The sequence below is a fragment of the Homo sapiens genome, chromosome 1, assembly GCF_000001405.40.
Source record: "Homo sapiens chromosome 1, GRCh38.p14 Primary Assembly".
NCBI classification, from domain to species: domain Eukaryota; kingdom Metazoa; phylum Chordata; class Mammalia; order Primates; family Hominidae; genus Homo; species Homo sapiens.
Window position 1 is genome coordinate 54998163 of NC_000001.11, and position 20043 is coordinate 55018205.

The 20043-nt window shown below is 51.2% G+C and overlaps 1 protein-coding gene across 1 annotated transcript, besides 2 other annotated features; it reads left to right on the forward strand.

Moving 5' to 3' along the window:
• Positions 764-813: an enhancer, noted in NCBI's record as "active region_1070". NCBI's record gives its function as "activates an Ori minimal core promoter by ATAC-STARR-seq in GM12878 lymphoblastoid cells {active_cell/tissue: GM12878}" and the evidence as "EXISTENCE:reporter gene assay evidence [ECO:0000049][PMID:35858748]".
• Positions 771-19010, forward strand: BSND (barttin CLCNK type accessory subunit beta). Its single transcript, NM_057176.3, has 4 exons — positions 771-1201; positions 6860-6954; positions 8835-9110; positions 10052-19010. Exons 1-4 carry the CDS (start codon positions 1025-1027, stop codon positions 10464-10466), a joined length of 963 nt encoding a protein of 320 aa, NP_476517.1. The 5' UTR covers positions 771-1024; the 3' UTR covers positions 10467-19010.
• Positions 2452-2952: an enhancer, noted in NCBI's record as "H3K4me1 hESC enhancer chr1:55466287-55466787 (GRCh37/hg19 assembly coordinates)". NCBI's record gives its function as "activates a minimal SCP1, AML or CMV promoter by ChIP-STARR-seq in primed H9 embryonic stem cells {active_cell/tissue: H9 hESC(primed)}" and the evidence as "EXISTENCE:reporter gene assay evidence [ECO:0000049][PMID:30033119]".

A 20043-nucleotide genomic window follows, 5' to 3' on the forward strand; every position in this document is an offset into this window, starting at 1 on the left:
GCCCAACTGGGTGGTGCATAGCGTGTGAATGTGAAGGGGATGGAGGAACCCAAGGAGGCCAGGCCTGGAGACAGCACCAAATCTGGGAGGTACATTATTATTCCCATTTTACAGAGGAGGAAACTGAGGTAACCTGATCATGACCACACTGCCCCACAGTAGAGGAGCCAGAATCCAAACCCAGGCAGCCTGCCTTGCCACCAGAGCCACGCTTTTCACCCTCAAGCTGCAGTTAAGAAGTATCACGCCGTGGCTAGGCCCACGGCCTCTGGCTTCACATCCCACTAGCTCTGCCATCTTTAGCTGTGTGACCTTGGGCAAGTTACTTGTCTGTGCCCGAGGGTCCTCTGTAAAGTGGGGATAGTAGTAGCTGCTTCACTGGGTTCCCTTCAATGAGTTAATAGCTGTAACATGTTTAGAATGGTGCCCTGCACATAGTCACCAGCCAGTACATATGGGCCATTATTCCTGAACCCTGGATAGGCACATGTCCTTGAAGAGTGTAGAATTCTTCAGGATTCTGAAATGCCAGCCTGTGGGATCCTGGAATCCTCCAATAGCATTCTAACAGCTCTCAGCTGCAGAACTGTACCCTGTTTTCTAGAGCTGGAAGGTGTGAGGCTGCCTGTCCACCCAGCTCAACCCCACAGTAGGCAAATGAGGTGATGTCAAAGCCTTGGCTGGGGCCCAGCCCCGGTAACCTCCCACTCTCCCTCCCCTGTGTGCTCCCTCGCTCAGATTCACACACACACTCCAGGCCAGCCGGGCCCAGAGGGAAGGTGAGAGGGCAAGGAGTAAAGGTGGCTGGGTGTGGGTCCGTTGAAGCGAGCCGCCTCCAGCCCTGTTGAACTGGTGGGCCCAGGGACTGGAGCGGGATTGAAAGGGATCTTGCTCTCCCTTGAAGCCTTGAGTTGCAGCGATTTCAGTGTCTTCTCTCCCTGTGTAAGCCTGTCTCGGTGTTTAGGCTGAACTACAGCCACCCCCTCTCCCGGGGGTGTGCAGGCCAGGGACTGGCCAGGCAGCCATGGCTGACGAGAAGACCTTCCGGATCGGCTTCATTGTGCTGGGGCTTTTCCTGCTGGCCCTCGGTACGTTCCTCATGAGCCATGATCGGCCCCAGGTCTACGGCACCTTCTATGCCATGGGCAGCGTCATGGTGATCGGGGGCATCATCTGGAGCATGTGCCAGTGCTACCCCAAGGTAGGTGGTAGTGGGGCTGGGTGGGGCCAGGTCAGCTGGGGCCAGGAGGGCTGGACACTGTGCCTGTATGCCATGCCTCACCCCCTATCCTTTAGTTGTCTTTTCATTCTTCTCATTTTGACTCGGTCTTCTCTCTGCTCTCCTGAGCGTCTGTCCCATCCATCCATCCATCCATCCATCCATCCATCCATCCATCCCTTAGCCTAAGGGTTGATCAGAAGGCCCCTGGATCTGGAGCCCTGAGCCGGAAGCTATGGTATAGACACAGCAAACACAACACACCATGTGCTTGAAACAAAAGCTAATGAGCGCTGACCCCCTGCCAGGCACTCCTGCGTTCAGGGTGCAGTTCAGCCCTCATCCTAAGCCTTTTGGTGCTTTCTGTAGTTCCACCTTCTGAGCCTTTCTGAGGTCCAGAAAGAGAGGCTGCACAGCTAACGAGCAAGGTTTGGAGCTCAGATGCGTGTGACTTACACGTCACCCTTCACCTTGGGTCTTCTACCTCTGGGTCCCAGAGCGACTGAGAGCTCCAGGGTAGGTCAGGTCTAACCTTGGTGGCATGCACTGGGCAGTATCCTTTAGAGTCTTCATGTATTCTCAGCCTTATGTGTAATTTAGTGATGGGAAGAGCACTGGTTTGGGAGTCCTGAGTTCTAGTTCAAGTCCTGTTCCAAACTCTCTATGACCTTTGTCTTTCTGAGCCTCATTTTTTTCATCTGCAAATGAGATCCCTGCCCCTATTTTCCACAGAGCTTCACAGGGTCATTATAAAGATCAGAGAAGAGATAAGATATAGGAATATTTTGTAAACTGTAAGGTGTTATTTATAGATGAAGGGCTACCACTGTTACCCATACTGATCCTCCCAACAGCTCTGTGGAATGGAAATGCCAGGAGTTGCGAATCTTCAATGCCTAGAGAGGCTGGGTGACTTCCAAGGTCACACAGCTGGTCAGGTACAGACCCAGGGAGAAAAGGAGGGAAATAGGGACTCTAACTTGGGCTCTGTCTCTTACTGCCTGGGAGACTTTGCTCAAGCCCCTTTCCTCTCTGAGCCTCAGTTTCCTCATTTGTACACTGTGTGAGTTAGGAGGGGGGGGTGGGAAAGGGGGTATATCTGGGGGCCCTGCTGGACCTAATATCTAGGGCTCCAGGTCCAGGCAGTCCTCAGCAACCCCCACACCTCCTCTCCTCCCACCTGGGTGGCTGTGCTCAGGGTTTCAGGGAAGAAGGGGGATGGCTCCCTGGGGCCTGGGCCGGCTCTCCCCAGCCCTGCCCCCTCCACGGGCCAACCCTGGGCTGTCATTCTGTTCAGTGCTGGAGCGGTCTGGGCTGGTTTGTAGTCATTTAGCAGGCAGTTTACAGTCAACTTGCCTCTGTCTGTGCAATTCCTTGAGCAGAGGTCACTGGGAGAAGTCCTTGGGGCCAAAGCCACTCATGTCACCACTGCTATTATAATCCTTCTCCCAGTGAGGAGGCTGGACCCTGGGGGACAGCAGAGGGATGGCAGAGGTGTGGAGAGGAGCATCCTTCCTGCCCCCGCTCTTAAATAGAGCTGGCTCTGGGATGGTTGGTAGGCTGATGGGAGTGACGGTAGAGGGGAGGGGAGGGGAGGAGGGAATATTGCTGGGTATTAATGAGTAACTGTTGATAGATTCATGGGTTCACGTGCTGTGGAGGCAGCGTGGTGGGCTGAAAATGGCACATGTTGTGGCAACCTCCAGGCCCAGATTCAAATCCCTGCTCCTTCATGTCCCACTTCTGTGACCTTGGCAGAAAGAGTCCCTCCCCCTCAGCTCTGAGCCTTGTACGGCTGATTGGGAGAACACAGTGGGATCGTGTGTGTGTGTGTGTGTGTGTGTGTGTGTGTGTGTGTGTGTGTTGGGGGAGACCTGGCATCACACCTGCCATGGAACATATGTGAAGGCATTGTTCTTAGGATTGAGGATTGGTATTTGCGGCACTGGGTGGGCCTCTGCATGAGTGCAGGTGTGTGTGAGTGTGTGTTTCAGAGATGCAGGCTGGTAGAGCCAGCACAAATTGACTCCAATAAGGGAAGGGAGGAAAGCACCTTATAAACCAGGGAGACACTCTAGAGGCGAAGCTCCCTGGATCCTGCTTGGTCTCATTGGTGCCTGGGCCAACGCTGCCTGCAGTGCTCCTGCCTGTCCTCCCCTCAGCCTCCTCCCCGTGGCTCTCTGTGCCAGACCTATGGAAAGTTTTGATAAATGGGGAGATATAAATATAAGGGAATAGAATTAGCTAATTAGGATATAGGGGTGAGGGGTAGCCAATACCAACATGCATTAAGCTGTCCATGTCTTTTAGGGGCTAGAGGTCTAGTGGGAGAGGCTATTTGCTGCCTGATGGGGAGGAAACAGGCTTCACAGAGAAGGTGAGCTGGGCTTTGTAGGTGAGATAAGAGTTCACCAAGCAGAGAAGATGGGGAAAGACATTCCAGGCAGAAGAGTAGCATGATCAAAGCAATGTGGTAAAAGAATAAGGCAAGTGGGCCATTGTGGCTACGAGAGGCAGAGGGGAGGAAGGTAAAGGTAGCGAGGGAGTGGGGCTCAACTCTTCAGGGCCTGGGATGCCATGGTAAGGAATTTGGAGCTTGTCCTTTAGTTAATGGGACACGACCAGCTTTGCAGTTTGAGAAAGACATCCAGAAGAAGGAAGGTCTGGGGGCAGCCATACCAGTGGGGAGGCTTCTTCTCTGGTCTTGGTGAGAGCTGACAGTCATCTGGAATAATGCAGAATTCAAACACAAAGCTGTAGGAACTAAGGTGACATTTACAGTTCACTTCACATAGAGTACCCGTTGTGGCTAGGCATAGCACCAGCACTTCCACCCAGGTTATCTTATTGAATTTCTGAAGTAGACCTGGTCAGATTTGGTGGTCAGCTGGGCCTCAGGCATGAGAGAGGAGAAGGGATCAGGGCAAATCTAGTGGATGGGACAGTTGGAGGTGCTGAGCCCATTAGTGAAGATGGGGCAGGGGAGCTGTGAGCAGGGAAAGGAGTGGCAGGGAGAGCAGGGTCTCTGCCCACGCATCCCCCATTCCTCACTCCTGCCTGCTGTGCTGGAGACCAGGACCAGGGTCCTGACTGGTGGCCTCCCTCTCTCTGGAGATTGCTCAGTGTTCTGCCTAAACACAAATCTGACAGTGTACTCTCTTGCTGAGAGTCCTTCAGGACTCCCCATTGCATCTGGAGAAAGGCTAAGCTTCTTAGTTTGGTGTTCTGGTGGTCTCCATGGTCTGATATCCTCTCTCCAGCTTCAACTCTGCCTGTCCCTCCTCATCAAAAAACTTGCATTTTAAGATGCCCCATCCTTTCCTTCTCCAAGCTTTTCCTAAGGGTGGTGATGATGATATGATGGTGATAATGAGAGTGCAGTGGGGATAGTGAGGGTGAGAATGGTGATGGTGATGATGATGATGATGATGTTAGTGATGGTGCTGATAAGAATGATGATGGTAAAGATGGTGATTATGAGATGATGATGGTGAGGATGGTGATGGTGACAATGGTGATGATTATGGTGATTAGGAGATGGTGATGATGAGGATGGTGATGGTGAGAATGGTAATGGTGATAATGGTGATGATGATAATAGTGATAATGATGGTGAGGATGGTGATGGTGACAATGGTGATGATGATGATGATGATGATAGTGATGATGATGGTGACGGTGATGATGATGGTGACGGTGATGATGATGGTGCTGACTGGGCCATGAGGTAATGAGGCAGAGGAAGAGGCAGCTTCTAGGAAGTACAGTACTAGCTGGGAAGTACAAAGCATCCTTAACGGGGGTGGAAGAAGCCCAGGCCCCTGCCTTATTTCTTTCCTTTTCTTTTTTGTTTTTAAGAGACAGGAGCTCAGTCTGTCACCTAGGCTGGAGTGCAGAGGTGCAATCATAGCTCACTGCAGCCTCGAACTCCTGGGATCAACCAATCCTCCTGCCTCAGTCTCCCAAGTAGCTGGGATGACAGGCTCACACCACCACATCCAGCTAAATTTGTTATTTAATTTTTTTATTTTTTTTGTAGAGACAGCGTCTTTCTTCATTGCCCAGGAGCTCTGTTTTATTTCTGGACATCTAGAGAAAGCGCACTCCTCATAGGAGTACAAAGGCCCCCTCCATCCATCATTCCCTTCTCCCCATCAGAATGGAGCTTTCCTAGTGCAGACAAGTGTCTTCTACTCACTTTGCTCTATGGGAAGGGGAATAGGGAAGTGCTATTTATGAATCTGGTATAATACAGTGGGGTCTCAACAAATATTTATTGGAAAAATTTTCAGCCGAGGAGAGCAAGACTCAGAGAAGTCAGACAACTGAATCATCAATAGCATCAAGTTATGATTTACTGAGTAGTTACTATGTGCTGGGGACCATGCTGAGGGATTCCCTATATATGATCTCATGAAATTTTCACAGCAACCTCAGGAGACTGGCGTAACTAGCCCCATTTTAAAACTCATGGTAAAATACACGTAACATAAAAGTTAGTGTCTTAAACATATTTAAGTGTACAGTACAGCTAAGTACATTCACATTGTCATCCAACCAATTTCCAGAATGCTTTTTGTCTTGTAAAGCTAAAACTCTATACCCATTAAATCACAATTCCCCATTATCCCACTCTCTAGCCCCTGGCAACCATCTTTCTTCTTTCTGGCTCTATGGATTTGACTATTCCAGGTGCCTCAGAAAAGTAGAATCATACAGTATTTGTCTTTCTGCTCAGCATAATGTCCTCGAGGTTCAGTGATGTTGTAGCATGTGTCAGAAGTTCCATCCTTAAGGCTGAATAGTATTTCATCATATGGATAGACTATATTTTGTTTATCCATTCATTCATCAGTGGATACTTGGGTTGCATCTACCTCTTGGCTCTTGTGAATACTGCTGCTCTGAACATGGCTGTGCAAGTATCTCTTCGAGGGTAGCCCCGTTATACAGAGGAGCACAGAGAGACTGCGAAGAGAGATGACCTGCCTAGGGCCCACAGTGAGAATCTGGCAGAGGAGGGATCCTCACCCCATCTCCCAGATCCCACAGGCACAGCTCCTCTCCCTCACCCACTGCCTCCTTCATGATCTGCCTCCGACTGCACCACGCAGTGCCCACCTAGGGCTGGACTTGCAGAGACCTCTTGATTCCTGAAAGTTCAGGGACAGGGACTGGCGGGCATAACTTCTCTGTCACCCACTGCAGCCCATGTGGCAAAAACACATGACAATGACTTGCTTTCCACTCATTCACCAAATATGGATGAAGCACCTACTATGTGCCAGGCTTGTGCTGGGCACTGGACGAAGACCCCTGGGAAATGAAAAGATGTGAGCTCCTCAAGGACAGGGTTCTCTTTCACTCCTTGCTGCTCCTAGTGCCTGCGACAGTGCCTGCACACAGCAGATAATAAATGTTTGTAGAGTGAATGAAGAACCAGGAAGGGAGCAGGAGCACAGAGGTCCATCCTCCCGCTGGTGCTGTGCCCCAAGTAGGCCCCTCTCCTGTCAAGCAGGGAGGCCTCCGTGGTGCAGCCTGTCTCCCAGAGCTCATGGAGAGGTTTGCCAATTCCCTGAGGGGACAGTAGCCCCCCTACCCTGGTCAACTGCACAGAGGCTGTCTCTCCTTTGCTTGCAGATCACCTTCGTCCCTGCTGACTCTGACTTTCAAGGCATCCTCTCCCCAAAGGCCATGGGCCTGCTGGAGAATGGGCTTGCTGCCGAGATGAAGAGGTAGGTGCCAGGCCCTCTCGGGAGGGGAGGAGTAAGCCCCATAGGCCAGTCTCCCCTGACTGAGGAGAGTGAGAGGGAGGGCAGGAAGGCTGTTTGCCTTCTCACTTACTGAGAATGTATTAGAAATTATGGACTGTTTTCAACTCTCAATTCTGTGAGTTAGGCATTATTATTCCCATTGTACAGATGAGGAAACTGAGGCCCAGGGACTTTGTCTTGTCAGGGACGAGACAGTGTTTCGGTGAATACAAGATCTCCATGAAACAAATCATACAATGAAATAAATGTACTGTGAGAAATACAGTGCAATAGAGTCACAGGAGTAAGTGCTTCTACTACTGACAAACAAGAGGCATGGTGGTGGCCAAGGCTCAGCCTCAGGGCTTTGCCGCCTACTCGCTGCCTGACTTCCAGCAAGCTACTGACCTCTCTTTGCCTCGTCTGTAAAATGGGGATACTAATAGTACCTATCTCCTAGGGCTTCAGGGAGGGTTAAGTGAGATAATATAGGCAGAGTGCTAAGAACAGAACCTGACACACAGTAGGTCTTCTATGAGTGTTTGTCATCATTAGTAAGTGCCTTCTGTGTGCCAGAGACTGAGTCAGGCACTGACTCCCTCAGTCCTCATAGAAACCCTGTAAGGTGGGGGTGTTAGGCTCTTTATACAGCTAGGAAGATTGAGGCTCAGAGAAGTGTAGTCACTAGCCCCAAACCTCATGGGGAGTCAGTGATGGAAGCCGGGCCTGCACTCAGCAGTGGTGGAGGCGGGGCCTGCACTCAGCAGTGATGGAGGCGGGGCCTGAATTCAGGCCTGATCTGGCCACAAACTGCTTCCCTCTCTGGAGGTTTTGAGCCCTGGCTCCCATGGCACAGCCAAGAATGCTCCAGCCCTGGAGAGGCAGTGGGACCACCAACCCCCTGGGCTGTGACTCTGCACTCAGGAGGCCGGGCTTCAAGCCCAGAGTCTGTCGGCTGGGTTAGGGATGATCTCTGCTTTGCTTGGGGAAGGGGTTCATAATGGCGTTTTCTGCCCCTGGCACCCAAGGTGAACAACTGCCTCAGTGGGAAGGAAGGGGATAGACCCTGTGGGTATGGAGGCCAGCCAGAGCTCCGTCTCAGGGCCGGTTACTTGGGGTGGGCTCCTGTGATACAGTGGGGGCTCCGGCCACCCTGGGTTCTGAGCTCTTCCCAGTCACTTCCCGGCTGTGTGACCCTAGGCAAGGGGCCTAGTCTCTGAACCTTACTTTCCAGAGGGACTGTAGCACAGTCATAGAGAACATGATATCTGGAGCTCCAGTACTATCACCTAGGGTCCATGTCACCCGGGTACAAGTCTGTTAGAGACTCTGTGCCTCAGTTTCTTCATAGTATCTCTTGTAATTATGGTGAGGGTTAGATGAGCCAACTAACAGAGCCTGGCAGGAAGGAGTTCCCCATTGCTGTAGACTGTCATTGCTGGGTATGTCCTCATCTGTAAACTGGGAATGAGAATTTCTGCCTCAAGGCATTTTTTAGAATAATGTTTAGAATAATGGGTTGATAAGCATTCAGCCTTTACCCACCATCTGGGACCCGGCAAACTCAATGTTAACGGGTCTTCATTTTGCAATTGCATCCTTGTGGTTAACTTTGGAGGCATCAGGTGAAAAAAACACTGGATAGAGAGTCAGACTTGGGGTCAGGCCTGAGCTTTGTCACTTAATTAACTCACCTTGCTGGGCCTCAGCCTCCTCATCCCTGAAACGGGCGCAGTAACATCCCCCAAAGGCTTCTTGTGAGGTGAGGGGAGACCACATACCCAAAGCAAACAGGGCCGGGGAGAACACTGGTGTTTGCTGAGTGACTCTTTGCCGCCTGCCTGTTCTCTCTCCCACTCCAGCCCCAGTCCCCAGCCGCCCTATGTAAGGCTGTGGGAGGAAGCCGCCTATGACCAGAGCCTGCCTGACTTCAGCCACATCCAGATGAAAGTCATGAGCTACAGTGAGGACCACCGCTCCTTGCTGGCCCCTGAGATGGGGCAGCCGAAGCTGGGAACCAGTGATGGAGGAGAAGGTGGCCCTGGCGACGTTCAGGCCTGGATGGAGGCTGCCGTGGTCATCCACAAGGGCTCAGACGAGAGTGAAGGGGAAAGACGCCTAACTCAGAGCTGGCCCGGGTGAGTGCTTAGAGGGCAGGAGTGGGGCTTCTGCCCAGTTCAAGGGTTAAAAAGGAGAGGAGTGGGGGACCGCCGAGGGGTGGGTGGGGACACTGGGGGTAAGGAGAGGGCAGTGGAGGGTGTGGGACACCCTGAGATGTGGCAGATGTGGCAGACAAATGAGTATGGGCTTGGGAGTCAGGCCTCAGTTCAAACCCCAGCTCCTGTGCTGTGTAGCTGTGGTAGGTTCCTTACTTTCCCTAGCCTCAGTTTCCCCACACAGGGATGATCATTCCTACTACCCAGGAATGTTGAGGGTTGGGACAGTGCATTTAAGTACCTGGCATACAGTAGGCCCTTGATGTCTCTGAATGCTTGTCGTGAGTAGCAGGGGGCCAGGAGCCAGAGGACCCGAGTTCAAATTTGGGTCTGCTGCTGACCTGCTCTGTGACCTTGGGCAAGGCCCTCCCCACTCCACTCCCATCCCTGTCTGTTTGTGAACTGAGCTCCTTATTCATCCATGTACTTATTCATTCCATCCACATTACTGAGCACCAACTTCCTGCCCAGCCTTCACTGGAATCTACCCCTGAGGAGCTCTGAGTCCAATGAGGGAGGCAAAGACACCCGGGGACACCTCAGTGTAACTGGGCCTATGAGCAACAGAGGAGAACCCTGAATAATTGGAGAAGTAGATGAGTGACCTGGTTCAGATAATAGCATAGTAATAGCCCTATTTCATGAGCACCTTCTATGTGCCAGGCACTGTGCAAAGTGCCTTGCACATATTATCTGCTGTAAACCTAAGAAAGAACTGCAGGAGTGAATTCTGTTATTGGGAAGAAACTGAGGCCCGGGAAGGTGGATTATCCTACCCTAGGTCTTGCAGCTAGCGGCTGGAATGTGGACCCAGGCATTCTGACTCAGAGATACCCTTGCCCTTGTGGTCTTTGTCCCTGCAGCCCCCTGGCCTGTCCCCAGGGCCCTGCCCCCTTGGCTTCCTTCCAAGATGACCTGGACATGGACTCCAGTGAAGGCAGCAGCCCCAATGCATCTCCACATGACAGGGAGGAAGCTTGTTCCCCACAACAGGAACCTCAGGGCTGCAGGTGCCCGCTGGACCGCTTCCAAGACTTTGCCCTGATTGATGCCCCAACGTTGGAGGATGAGCCCCAAGAGGGGCAGCAGTGGGAAATAGCCCTGCCCAACAACTGGCAGCGGTACCCAAGGACAAAGGTGGAGGAGAAGGAGGCTTCGGACACAGGTGGGGAGGAACCTGAGAAGGAAGAGGAAGACCTGTACTATGGGCTGCCAGATGGAGCCGGGGACCTCCTCCCGGACAAGGAGCTGGGTTTTGAGCCTGACACCCAAGGCTGAGATGTTTGTGCTCCGTAGCTTCTAGTCTGGAACTGCTGCTGACCCCTGTGTGACATCACAGGGCCTCAGTTTCCCTATCTGCAAAATGGGATGATATGGAGGTTCAATGAGATGGTGGCATTTTGAGAATGGTAAAGAAATACACAGGGAGGGGATGATGACTATTAGTGGACTCTTGTTTTTCCAATAGTTAGTGGTCTTTGGCCAACCTTTGAAGGCAAAATATGATTTGTTGAGGTTTGCAGCAGCTGAAGCCCTCAAAAGCATTTTCCACCTTCCCCCAAAGCTGACCTCTGAGAGGAACCTTCCTTGGTGCTCCCTCTGGGCCCCTGATCCTTTGTGAAGGCCAGTCAGGTTTCCCATTCCTATTGTGTCTTATAGTCCACTTGGTAGATGGCGTGATCCGTCTTTACACAGAGGGAGCCTCATCTCCTCCTGGGCCACATTCCTCCTGCAGCTCCCATCGCTCCTTGGCCAGGACCCAAAACCTTCTGTGACTGACCCCTGCTGACCTCATTCTCTCTGCTCCTCCAGTTCCAAGCCTAGCCCCCCTGCCCATCTTGCGGCTCACACTCTTGCCCAAGCTGTTCTCCTCCACCAGGATGCCCTTGGCTCCCTTTTCAGCTTGGCAAATTCGTGCTCACCCTTCAAACCCCTACACAGATGACCTCCCTTGGAAAGGTTTTCCTGATGTCGCTGCCTCCTGGAACCAGGTGGTCTTGCCTCTCTGCGCTGCCTTTGGGACCTGTATATTTGTCAGTGTGGCATGGCTGCCTGCCTCCCGTTGAAGGGCAGCATCTTGACTTTACTCACCTTGAGATCGCCTGTGCCCAGATGGGCCTTTGGCCTGGCCCAGAATCGGTGGTCATCAAGGGTGTACAGAACTCACCAGGACCCAGGAACCTGTTGCAGATAAAATCACTCTCCCCCACGTTCCCAACTTTTAGACTCACAGCCCTCTTACTTCCCAGCATTCAAACTTCTAAATGGCCTGTATGTATTCACAAAGCAGGCAAAAAGCCCCCAGAGGAACACCACCCCCCACCCCTGCCTCTGGAATACATTTGCTTTGACTTGGAATTGTAGGTGAAATTCATCTTCCTGGCCTACTTCAGTTTGAATCAGTTGGCTAGCCAGGTGCGGTGGCTCATGCCTGTAATCTGAGCATTTTGGGAGGCTAAAGTGGGTGGATCACTTGAGGCCAGGAGTTGGAGAGCAGCCTGGGCAACATAGCGAAACCCTATCTCTACTAAAACTACAAAAATTAGCTGGGCGTGGTGGTGCACACCTGTAGTCTCAGCTACTTGGGAGGCTGAGCTGGAGGATAGCTTAAGCACAGGAGATGGAAGTTGCAGTGAGCCGAGATCGCACCACTGCACTCCGGCCTGGGTGACAGAGTGAGACCCTGCCTCAAAACAAAACAATTGGAATTGGATGGCATTTAGTGAGCATCTACTATATGCCAGATATTGAGCTGTGATCTCTAGGGGTAAAGAGACATGAACTACTGACACCGTGCTTGCCTTCAGAGGGCTCACAATCTAGTGAGCTTGATTTCTGTGAGTGCAGAGCAGAAGCTGAGGTGGGAACAGAGAAGTAAAAAATGGACACACCAGAGGCAGAAGAGTGACAGCCTCCCAGCTGTTTGGGGCAGTTGAGTATGGTGGGGAAATAGCTCAAGCTGTCTTTGCAGCCCCTGAAGACATCACTGTACCCTATTGAACCATCTCAGGGTGATGCTATTGTTACGCTGATCCCTGCAACGCTTGCCTGTGCCCCAGCCCAGGATCCTGGCAGCTGCAGAGAAAATGGCAGTAACACTACCTCAAACCAGGACCACGCCCTCAGAGCCTGCACCCTGGGCCACCTGGGAGTCAGAGACCTTCACCTGGGCTATGGGGTTCTGGGTTGAGGCTGGGGTTCCCGGCCTAGGGAAGGGCTTCCGGGTTGAGGCCGGGGGTCCTGGCCTAGGGAAGGAGATGCCCCTGTGTGCTGGGTTACAAGGTCATGGCCCTGGGAACACACTTCCTTTTCTTTCTGGGTCATTTCTGCCTCTGCAGTGAAGGATGCCACAGGGTACACCCTCTCTGCTGTCATGACTCAGGACAGGAGTTCCTGGTCACAGCTGAGTCTTCGGATGAGGTGAGGGGTAGCATGCTCCTGTGCTCTGTTGCCTAAGGCAGGGCAGCCTACAACCCACGTTAGAAACAGCGTCAGCACTAAGGGCTAAAATAAAACTACTTTCAACATTTAAAGGGGTCATCTTCATTCACCTGCAAATTCTTTTCTTTAAAACCACCCCTTCCCTCGGGGCAGGATACGTGAGGCCTTACGCCTGACGGGCACCAGAGGCCCTCTTCCGGAAGTAAGCCCTCACTGCAGTGGCATGACCGTGGGGTGTGCTGTGTGGTGCTGAATCTCAGGAGTGATTCCCCACACCCCTGAACCACAACCGCAGTGGCTTTAGACTTAAACAAGAGCCTCTGGTTGCTGGGCCTGCCAGCAGGAAGATGGTAACCCTGTTCTAGAGTTAGCATCTGCAGGGGGCTTGGGGTAGTGGAGTGAGATGGTGAGACCCAGGCTTGGTCTCCCTGGCTCTTGCTGCATGATGGGGAGACCACACACCTGATCTGCCCAGGAAGGTCCCGGTTGACACCGACTGCCTCTGCTAAGTTATTAGGAGGCCCCTTTCACGCTCGAAGATACCTCATTTGGATGATACAATGTTACCTTACCTACTCTGTGACCTTTGACAAGTCTGGTTGCCTCCGTAGCCCTCAGCTTTCTCATGTGCAAATGACAGATGAAGTGCGCATATCTTGGAATCTTGGAAGTGATGGGGGTGTTTGATGGGACCTATCTTGTCAATGCCCTGCAGCCAAAGACCACTGGGAGCACACCTCACCTGTGGTTAACAAGCTGGGTTTCTTCTTGCAGTAAGGGGGAATGAACACCACAGCGAACCAGGGGGAGTCTCTGAAAGAGGTATTAGAAAGGACTTGTTACTGGATTTGGGCCAGTGCTCAGTGGCTTGGCGAGGGTTTAAGAAGCAGGCCTTTGCTCTGAACCGGCTGCTGTCAGGAGGCGGGGCTCATTCTATGACTGGGTGTCTTCTTCAACCTTATCTAGGATAAAATAAAATCATAAAACACTGTGCTTCATGCCCCTGGCCTTGCCAACTTGCAGTCCCCTCTAAGAGCATCAGAGCCTCTGGGGCACCCCCTCTCCACTGGGAGAGGGGCAAGGTGCTGGTGAAGGTCCTGGGGAGAAGGCTGGGAGGCTCTGAAAGGGTCAGGAGGGGCCTTTTGGGGTGGCAAAGCCTGGGATTCTAGCGTTCAGCTCCAGGCTCCAGGTGTGTGTGCCAGGGTGAAAATTCCTGCTCTTGGTCACTCTCCTGTCAGGTTGGAGGGACTCTGGAAGTTTCCACCCTCTGGAGAGGGAAAGGCCCTGGAGGGATGGCCCCTGCCCTTAACTGGAAAGGGTGGGCAAGGGAAGGCAGGGGGCCCAGGGGCAGGGAACCTGGGCTCTGCCGACCGCTCGCCATGACCTTGGGTACATCACAGCCCTCCCTGGGCTCCTCTATTCTCTGTAAAATTGGGTGAGGGTGGGCAAGATTCCACTTCTGCTCCCAGTCCCTGAGCACTGTGTGCCTGTCACCATGCAAGACACCGTCACCCCTATTACCCTATCTAGTCCGTGAAACAGCCCTGGGGGACCGATCTGTCGACCCCACATTGCAAATGTTTGTTATAAATCCCAGGCTCCAGAATCAGAAAGACCTGGTTTTACCTTCAGCCTCAGCCAGTTCCTTGCTGTGTGGCCTTGGACAAGTCACAGCCCCTCTCAGAGCCTCAATGTCCACATTTATGCAGTGGGGAGGATAATACCTCCCTCTTGGGCTTTTGTGGAGAAGAACTGGGTATAATGCCTCAGGCACATTTAGGTGCTTAGACAGTGGTGGTCTTCTTCCCTCTCTGGGTCTCTTCCCTCATCTATGCATCAGGGAGCCACTGTCCTGCCTATAAATAAAACAATAGGTGAGTGCATTCACCAGGAGGAAGATGCATGTAAAAGCTTCTTGCAAGGGGTAAAGAAAGTCTGTGTGCCCAGTGCTGAGAGGCAGGTGAGCCAACAGCAAGTGCAGGGACTAAGGTGTATAAAATGCCTCCTGTGGGGCAGGAGGGGAGCAGCATGCTGAGTGAGAGAGGCAGCACCCTGGAAGCTTGGAGGAGGAGCAGGATTGCTTGTGCTGTCAGACAGGTGTCAAACAGGGTTCCAGGCAGCTGCTGAGTGTCAGGTGCTTCCCATAAATCATTTCATTGAATTTAATTTTTCCATCTGCCCTGAGAGATGGGTATTACCAGGGGAGAAACTGATATTCAAACATAGGTCCTCTGAGCCTGTGCTCTTCCCACGATGCCACCTGGTCCACGTCATAAGACTCAACAATGCACCTGTTGTGCTGTGCACACTTTTCTTCATTTCATCCTCGCAGCTTGCAAGGTTGGTGTATTGTCCCCATTTTATTTTTATGTATTTATTTATTTATTTTGAGATGGAGTGTTGCGCTTGTTGCCCAGGCTAGAGTGCAATGGCGCAATCTCAGCTTGCTGCAACCTCCACCTCCCGGGTTCAAGTGATTCTCCTGCCTCAGCCTCCCAAGTAGCTAGGATTACAGGCGCCTGCCACCACACCCAGCTAATTTTGTATTTTTAATAGAGATGAGGTTTCATCATGTTGGCCAGGCTGGTCTTGTACCCCTGACCTCAGATGATCTACCCGCCTCAGCCTCCCAAAGTGCTGGCATTACAGGTGTGAGTCACTGCACCCAGCTGTCCCCATTTTATAGATGAGGAACTGAGGCTCAGAGAAGCTGAATAATTTGCCCATCCTTGCGGAGAAGAGCTAAATGGAGGAGAGGAGGTAGAGCTGCAGGGCTTTCTGTTCCTGCCAGGAATCATCCAGTAGCCCCAGGCCATTCTGACCCTAGTGGGACAGGAGAAAAATCAGTATCAATAAGTCAGGCAGCAAGGTTCCACTGAGCATCTCCCTGTGCTAGTGTGGAGGGAGACACCCCCCTGCAACATCTTCCATGACTGCCTATTGCCCACAAGATAAAATTCAGATTCCTCAGGCTGGCATTTGAGGCCCTTCATGATCTGGCCCCAACTGCCCCATCCAGCTGAATCATCTGCCATGTGCTCCCGTGCAGCAGCCCCGGCATCCTCACCTTTCCAGCCACCCTGCCTTGGCTCATGCTGTTCCCTCCACCCAGGTGCCCTTCATCCCCTTCTCTGTCATCCCTCAAACCCTACCTGTTCCCTGGAGCCTGAATTAGCCCTGCTCTCCCCTTCCACGGTGGAATCCATCTCCACTGCACCCTCTCCTCCGAATCCCTCCTAAACTGTGTGCCCCGCTCTGTCCCCAGCACTTCTGAATGACTAGCTGTGTGAGTACCAGTCTCCCCACATGGACTGGGAGGTCCTTCAAGGACAGGGGCCTCTTCCCCGCCAATACTTCTATCCCCAGGACTTAGCAAAAGCAAGGAACAGTAGTGCTGGTGGAACAGAATTGAACCGAACCGGGTGCCCACTCTGAAGGCTCATGGCCCAGGGGCATGGACTCCTAGCCCAGGGCTGAGGAGCACCAGCTTTGGAGTAAACAGCGCTGGGTTTGAGACTAGGCTTCCCTACTGGCCAGCTCTGTGACTTTGGCCAGGAGACTTAGCCTCTCTGGCCCTCAATTTCCTTATTAATAAATTGAGGTTAGTGATATCGACCCAATAGGCATGTTGTGAAGATTGGATGAGATCATGCATATTGAGTGTAGCATGTGCCTAGCACCTGGTGAGCCCCCAGTAAAGTCAGTTATCATTGTTAGTGTTGCCTGCAGAGATGATGTTACAATGTGTAGACATCAGGTGCCCATGTGCACCTGGGTCGTTCAAGCCTACAAGCACTGTGTCATCCAAGCACATGTATAATTCGAGCTTTGTATCGTCAGTGCTTCCAAGTGCCTGTCAATGGACCCAGCTGGGCTGGTGGCATCAGACTCTCCTGGGAAACTTTAAAAATCTAGTGTCCTAGAACCATCCTCAGAAAAGTCTGGGATGGCCTGGGTTTTGCATAAGCAAGCCTGGTGATTCTTAAGTGCTGAAGGGCTTAGTTGTTTGTTTTTCTTAAATGAGTTATCAAACATTGGATAGCTGGTAGGCAACCCAGAAGAGGTGGGAGTTGCAAGCCAGGACTTAAAACAGTAGAATGAAGGAGTGAGGGTATCTCAGGCAGAGGGCATGGCATAGGCAAAGCCTTGGGGGAAGGAAGGAGGAAGAAGGAGACTGTCCTGGCTGGAGTGGTGGAGGACAGGGTCAGAGAGGGAGGCCGCAGCTTGGCCATGGGGCTTCTTGAATTCCTGCCACGGAGCTCAGATTTGTTCTGATGGGCAAGGGGGATTAATTGATGATTCTTGAGCAGAGGAGTGACATGAAAGAAACATTCAGGTCATATACTAACAGATACAAAAGGGAAAGGTGGCACGTATTGGTGGCAAGAAGGCTGGTTTGTGCCCTGCGGCAGGGATTTCATTCTCAACCTGCCCTGTGAAAGGTTTTTTCCACTCATGTCACTGGGTGGATGCCAGGTCAGGACTGAAGCTTGCAGAGCCGGTGTCCTGGATTCCTCCTTGCTGACCACAAATCCAGCAGAGCAGGGCAGGGAACCCTGTGGCAGAGGCTGTTGCTTCCCGCCAAGACACCAGGGCCCTGGCCAAGGCAGTGCTCAGTTCACAGATGACCCAGGACAAGGGCAAATGAGGGCCCCAGTGACTCAGGAAGTCCCCAGGTCAGAAAATGGGCCCCACTGGTGATTCTGCAGATAGTCCCTGCACATCCCGGAGAAGAGCAGACACGGTGTGGTGGGTAGGTGGATGAGACCAGGCTTTGGGGATCAGATCAGCAAGCCTGGGGGTAAGGAGGGCTAGATTTTATCTAGTCATGTGTTCATTCATTTGTTCACTTATTCATTTATTCTAACCACAAACACTATGCACCTGCTTTGTGCCACCCCCTGTGCTAGGTACTGGGGGAAGAGACATGCATCTGACCCATGCTTGTCTTGGGGGAACCTCTACTACCCCGGGCTAACTGCAGAGTGAACAGTGACAGGTCAGTGCTGAGCAGAGGGAAGCACGGCGGGGATCTGACCCCACCTGGAGAGTCGGCAGGAGCTTCTCAGAGAGGAACTCCCACCAAGCTATGTCCTGAAGGATTCGCTAGGGAAGAGCAGGGAGGGAGAACAGCTTGGGCGAAGCCTCCAGCCCTGAGCCACCCCACCACGTTCCAGGATTGACCTGGGGTAGGTGTGAACTGAGCTTAGAATAGGAGCGGAGGGTGGCTGGAGAAGACGTGGGTGAGTGAGTGACTGGGGACTGGACCAGGGCGGGCTGTGGTTGTTGCCCTGGAGCACATGGAAGGCCCCAGTGATGGACAAGGACAAAGCTACAGTTTCCATGGAAGGAGGGCTTTGCAGTGCTGAGAGCTGCCCAAAGAATGGGTAGGAACATGTCTGAAAGAGGTTACAGTTCCTAACGGAGAGAGAGAGACAGATGGAGAGAGAGAGACAGAGAGAGAGAACTAGAAATCAGACAGGAAAAGAAAGGGAATTCATCCACTGGAAATATCTGTGATCCCACAAAAGAAACAAATGAAAACATGGTTAACCTCAGGGGAATGCAAATTAAAACAAGAAGCTATGTTTCACCCATAACACTGGCATCATTTTGTAAAGATGATGTAATAAAGATAATAATAGGTGGAGCTGGCAGAATGTGGAGGAACAGAGCTCTTTCTGACGTTGCTGATGTGAATGGGAGTGGTGGCAGCTTTTCTGTGAGTGCCTTCACAGGGGGCTGCCCCTTGATTCAGCAATTCCACATGTAGGACTTGCTCATTTATTCTAGTTTTGTTGTTGTTGTTGTTGTTTGTTTGTTGTTTTGAGACAAGGTCTTGCCGTATTGCTTAGGCTGGTCTCAAACTCCTGGATCAAGTGATCCTCTGGCCTCAGCCTCCTGAGTAGCTGGGATTACAGGAGCACACCACAGTGCCTGGCTTTATCCTGATAATTTACCCTAAGGAAGAAATCAGACAACTGTGCTAGACTATACTTACAGAAGGCAGTTTATCATAGCGTTGATGATGGTAGATGAAATGTGGAAAGAATCTCAATGTTCAGCAACAGGAGACTGGCTAAGACATCATGCCACAGCTATGCAAGGGACAGATACACGGCCATTCAAAACAGTGACCCTCCTGATTGAATCAAATCCCCTATCACCACTCTCACAGCACCACAGATCTCTCTCCTTTGTAGCATTTATTACCATCATAATTTTACATTTCTTTGTGAATTTCTTTGATGAATTTCTATCTCCTTCATTGGACGCTAAGCTCTGTGAAGGCAAGGACTCTATTACGTTCATTATTGTGCCCTCAGTGCTTAGTTAAGTTCCTGGAACACAGTATCCTCTCAATAAATTGTTGTTAAATGAGTGAGTGAGTCTATATATTTTGATGTGGACAGATTTTGTAATGTATAATTAAGAGAAAGAGAGCAGATTATAAAACAGCATGCATGCTGTAACAGACATTGTTAATTCCCTCCTTCCTTGATTTTGTTTGTGAGTGAGGACCACATCCCCACTTTCAGTCAATGAATTGTGATTGGTCCAAAGCCAATCATGACAATCCTTTTCTCTGCTGCTGGAGGTGGTCCTGAGATCGAGTTCTGGCCAGTAAGACCTAAAGAGAAATCTGTTGGGGGTCACTTTCTGAAGTTTTTGCTTTTATAATAAAAATGCAGAAGTGACTGCCTTTGCAGGCATTGAAAACAGATGTAGTGGCTGGAGCTGCAGCAGCTGTCTTGCAGTCATGAGGGAAATTCCAAGAGATTCACAGAGATGCTGGACCTAACATTGTTGAACCAGTGAACCACGGCCAGCCACCATAGGTAGTCTAGCTAGGAAGAAAAATGAATCTCTGGTTGTTAAATAATTATACATGCAGATTAATGCCCTCTCAATAGATACAGAGTATGATCCCATATATATATATATATGTATATCCATATATGCGAATATGAATAGAAAATTAAAGTGATTATATCTGGGTGGTAGGATTCTCATTGATATTTTTTATTTTATGAAGTTTTTCCAATCAGCATGTAAATAATAACCAGAAAAAGAACTTTTTACATTCAGAAAATAAGCAATCATGCTAACTGTAATTTTTTTTTTTTTTGAGACGGGAGCCTCGCTCTGTTGCTCAGGCTGGAGTGCAGTGGGGCAATCTCAGCTCACAGCAACCTCCAGCTCCTGGGTTCAAGTAATTCTTCCACCTCAGCCTCCTGAGTAGCTGGGATTATGGGCACCTACCACCACACCCGGCTAATTTTTTGTGTTTTTTTTTTAGTAGAGACGGGGTTTCATCATCTTGGCCAGGCTGCTCTCAAACTCCTGGCCTCAGGTGATCCTCCTGCCTTGGCCTCCCAAAGTGCTGGGATTACAGGCATGAGTCACCGTGCCC